This window comes from Homo sapiens, chromosome 19 (assembly GCF_000001405.40).
Source record: "Homo sapiens chromosome 19, GRCh38.p14 Primary Assembly".
In the NCBI taxonomy this organism is placed as follows: Eukaryota; Metazoa; Chordata; class Mammalia; order Primates; family Hominidae; genus Homo; species Homo sapiens.
The window spans coordinates 10,246,802-10,251,568 of record NC_000019.10 but is presented as its reverse complement, the minus strand read 5'-3'; the positions used below and the strand labels follow the sequence as shown (position 1 = coordinate 10,251,568).

The 4,767-nt window shown below is 50.6% G+C and overlaps 1 annotated feature.

The window, feature by feature from the left end:
* Positions 1,370 to 1,419: a silencer, noted in NCBI's record as "silent region_10060". NCBI's record gives its function as "represses an Ori minimal core promoter by ATAC-STARR-seq in GM12878 lymphoblastoid cells {active_cell/tissue: GM12878}" and the evidence as "EXISTENCE:reporter gene assay evidence [ECO:0000049][PMID:35858748]".

Below are 4,767 nucleotides of genomic sequence, written 5' to 3'. Positions count from 1 at the left end.
CTCAGCCTCCCGAGTAGCTGGGACTGCAGGCGCCCGCCACCACGCCTGGCTAATTTTTTGTATTTTTAGTAGAGACGGGTATCACCGCGTTAGCCAGGATGGTCTCGATCTCCTGACCTCGTGATCCTCCCGCCTCAGCCTTCCAAAGTGCTGGGATTACAGGCGTGAGCCACCGTGCCTGGCGTTTTTTCATTTGTTTAAAGGCAGGGCCTTATTGCCCTCAGAAAGCCTTCAGGATTGGGCCTGCCAGACCATGCCTCCCAGTTTAGATTCCCCAGGGCAGGGCCATGTCCCCCCGAAACCCCTCAGATTAGGTATTTGTGTCCCTTACCCCCTAGACCAGGGTCCTCTCCCCTACCCCCTTAAACCAGGTCCCGTCCCCTCTCAGACCTTCCAGGGCTCTCCAAGGACAGAACAAAGTGGGGAGTCCACAGATCCTGGAGTGCCTCCCTTGTCGCCCCCTAACAAATCCGAATGCTTATTTTTAGTTTCTTTGTTTTGGTTTTTAGAGACAAGGTCTTCCTCTGTCGCCCAGGCTGGAGTGCAATGGGCAAGATCATGGCTTACTGCAGCCTCGACCTCCAGAGCTCAAGGGATTCTCCTGCCTCTGTCTCCTGAGTAGCTGGTCTACAGGTACGCAAGCCCGGCTCATTTTTGTATTGTATTTTTTTATTTTGTATTTGTATTTTGAGATGGAGTATCGCTCTGTCGCCCAGGCCGGAGTGCAGTGGTGTGAGATCGCACATCTCGGCCTCCCGGGTTCAAGCGATTCCCTGCCTCAGCTTACCGAGTAGCTGGGACTACAGGCGCCCGCCACCACACCTGGCTAACTTTTTGTATTTTTAGTAGAGAGGGGGTTTCACCGTGTTAGCCAGGATGGTCTCAATCTCCTGACCTCGTGATCCGCCCGCCTCGGCTTCCCAAAGTGCTGGGATTACAGGCGTGAGCCACCGAGCCCGGCCCTAATTTTCGTGTTTTTATTAGAGACAGTGTGGCACCACGTTGGCCAGGCTGGTCTTGAACTCCTGACCTCAGGTGATCCACCCGCCTCGGCCTCCCAAAGTGCTGGGATTACAGGCCTGAGCCACCGCGCCCGGCCTAATTTTTTTTTTGTAGAGATGGCGGGGGGTGGGTCTCCCAATGTTGCCCAGGCTGGTCTTGAACTCCTGGGCTCAAGCAATTCTCCCGCATTGGTCCCCCAAAGTGCTGGGATTACAGGCATGAGCTACTGTGGCCCACCCATTTTTAGGTTCTTTACCATGTTCCCGATAGACCTCCAGGGGGCGCCACCGGATCATAGCCGGCTTCCCTACCAGTCCAGGGCTGTCTACTTGGAGGCCAGTGCGTTCTGGACAGAGCACAGCTGACAACGTGGTCTGTGAACCAACCTCATTTTCCTCTGCTGGAAAAGGAGGTTATGAGATTCAGTGACGTAATGGAGGCAAAGCTTCCCATGCCTGGTACAAGGTGTAAAGTCAATAAATAGCATTATTATTATTTTTTTTTTGAGACAGAATCTCACTCTGTTGCCCAGGCTGGAGTGCAGTAGCGCGATCTTGGCTCACTGCAACCTCTGCCTCCTGGGTTCAAGCGATTCTCCTGCCTCAGCCTCCCGAGTAGCTGGGATTACAGGCGCCCGCCACTACGCCCAGCTAATTTTTATTTTTATTTTTTATTTTTAGTAGAGACAGGGTTTCACCATTTTGGCCAGGCTGGTCTCGAACTCCCGACCTCAGGTGATCCACCCGACTCGGCCTCCCAAAGTGCTGGGATTACAGGCGTGAGCCACCGCGCCTGGCCTCTACCAAAAATTTAAAAATTAGCTAGGTGTGATGGTATATGCCTGTGGTCCCAGCTAATGGGGAGGCTAAGGCAGAAGGATCACCTGAACCCAAGAGATTGAGGCTGCAGTGAGCCATGTTCATGCCACTGTACTCCAGCCTGGGTGACAGACTAAGATCCTGTCTCAAAAAAAAAAAAAAAAAAATGTGGCCGGGTGCGGTGGCTCACGCCTGTAATCCCAGCACTTTGGGAGGCCAAGGTGGGCGAATCACGAGTCAGGAGTTCGAGACCAGCCTGGCCAACATGGTGAAACCTTATCTCTACTAAAAATACAAAAAAATTAGCTGGGCGTAGTGGCGGGCACCTGTAATCCCAGCTACTCGGGAGGCTGACGCAGGAGAATCGCTTCAACCCAGGAGGCAGAGGTTGCAGTGAGCCGAGATCCCGCACCGCACTCCAGCCCATGCGACGAGTGAGACTCTGTCTCAAAAAAAAAAAAAAAAAAGAAAGAAAGAAAACAAAAAGTATAGTGTATTTCATTGTGTATTTTATCCCTGCAAGAATAACTGAATGCGGCCGGGCGTGGTGGCTCATGCCTATAATCCTAGCACTTTGGGAGTCCGAGGCGGGTGGATCACCTGAGGTCAGGGGTTCGAAACCATCCTGGCCAATATGCCAAAACCCCATCTTTACTAAAAATACAAAATTAGCCGAGCATGGTGGCGCATGCCTGTAATTCCAGCTACTTGGAAGGCTGAGGCAGAATTCCTTTAACTTGGGAGGCGGAGGTTGCAGTGAGCTGATACCGCACCATTGCACTCCAGCCTGGGCAACAAGAGTGAAACTCCGTTTCTAAATAAATAAATAAATAACTGTGGATGCATGTTTAAGACTCTATGTATTTTGCAACTTTAAAAGGTCTTTTAATCGTTTATTTTGTTGCTGTTGTTTTTGAGACAGGATCTCACCCTGTTACCAGTCTGTAGTGCAGTGTAACGATTATAGTTCACTGTAGTCTTGAATTCCTGGCCTCAGATGATCCTCTGCTGCAGCCACCTAAGTAGCTGAGGCCACAGGCATGTTCCACCATGCCCAGCAATTTTTTTTTTTTTTTTTTTTTTTTGTAGAGGCAGAGGTCTTGCTTTGTTGTCCAGGCTGGTCTTGAACTCCTGTTCTCAAGTGATGCTCCCTACCTGACTAATGTTTGTATTTTTCGTAGAGACAAGGTTTCACCATGTTGGTCAGGCTGGCCTCGGACTCCTGACCTCATGTGATCCACCCGCCTCAGCCTCCCAAAGTGCTGGGATTATAGGCGTGAGCCACTGCGCCTGGCCTATTGTATATTTTCATTGGTCATTCATACACCTGGTAGAGAGAATTTCAAAAATTACAAAGATTACTAGAGTGAAAATTCTGTCTACTCTTATCTGTGCCCCCTACCCCCCAGTTCTTCTCCCAGAAGCCACCACTACAATCAGCCTCCTGTGTGTCTACTCCAAAATCCGGTGTATGATTTTACAGGCAGATTTGCAAGTCTGTTCTGCACCAGAGAGTTTAGATTTTATGTGGCAAATGATGGAACAGTATTTCGTTTCTTTCTTTTTTCTTGTTTCATAGAGACAGGGTCTCGCCGTGTTGCCCAGGCAGATCTCAAACTTCTGGGCTCAAGCGATCTGCCCGCCTTGGCCTCCCAAAGTGCTGCGATTATGGGTGTGAGTCACCTCGCCTGGCTTTTTTTTTTTTTTTTTTTTTTTTGAGACGGAGTCTCGCTCTGTCGCCCAGGCTGGAGTGCAGTGGCGTGATCTTGGCTCACTGCAAGCTCCGCCTCCCAGGTTCACGCCATTCTCCCACCTCAGCCTCCTGAGTAGCTGGGACTACAGGTGCCCGCCACCACGCCTGGCTAATTTTTGTATTTTTAGTAGAGACGGTTTCACCATGTTAGCCAGGATGGTCTCAAACTCCTGACCTTGTGATTCCACCCCTCATCCCCCACAACAGATCTGTATCATCCATCCATGCCCTGTGCCTTTTGTTTTTTTTTTTTTTTTTTGAGACACAGTCTCATTCTGTCACCCAGGCTAGAATGCAGTGGTGCGATCCCGGCTCACTGTAACCTCCTCCACCTCCTGGGTTCAAGTAATTCTCCTGCCTCAACCTCCTGAGTAGCTGGGATTACAGGCAGACACCACCACGCCCAGCTAATTTTTGTATTTTTAGTAGAGATGGGGTTTTGCCATATTGGCCAGGCTGGTCTCGAACTCCTGACCTCAAATGATCCGCCTGCCTCAGCCTCCCAAAGTGCTGGGATTACAGGCGTGAGCCACCACACTAGGCCGCCTGGCTTAGTTTCTTAGTGATTTATTAGGCACCTACTGTGCACCACTGGTACACCAGTAAATCCAGCAAACACTTTTGAAATATTCACAGTCCAATGCAGAGGCCTGAAGGATCAGAGTTCAGGAGGGGAGTCTACAGGGTCTGTGGGCGTCCACAGGAGGAATTCCCAACCACGGGGGCAGGGTCTTGGGGTGGTCTTATGAAGCTGTAGCCTGAGAGCTAAGGCTTGAGGACTTTGTCCAGAGGAGAAAGTCTGTTTCAGGTTGAGAGAACAGCAGTCGCAGAGGCCAGGAGTGAGGAAAGACTGACAGGGGGCAGAGGTGGCTGAACCTTTCGGACTACCCACTGCATGCTTCCTTTGTTTTTGTTGTTGTTGTTTGAGACAGGGTCTCACTCTGTCACCCAGGCTGGAGTGCAGTGGTGTGATTTCAGCTCACTGAAACCTCTGTGCTGGTGTGCGACTGTAGTCCCAGCTTCTCAGGAGGCTAAGATGGGAGGATCACTTGAACCCGGGAGGCGGAGGTTGCAGTGAGCTGAGATTGCGCCACTGCACTCCAGCCCAGGTGACAGATCGAGACTTTGTCTCAAAAAAATAAAAAAGCAAATCTTCACCTCTGACCTTTCTGACCCTCTTCTCTTGCCCTATAT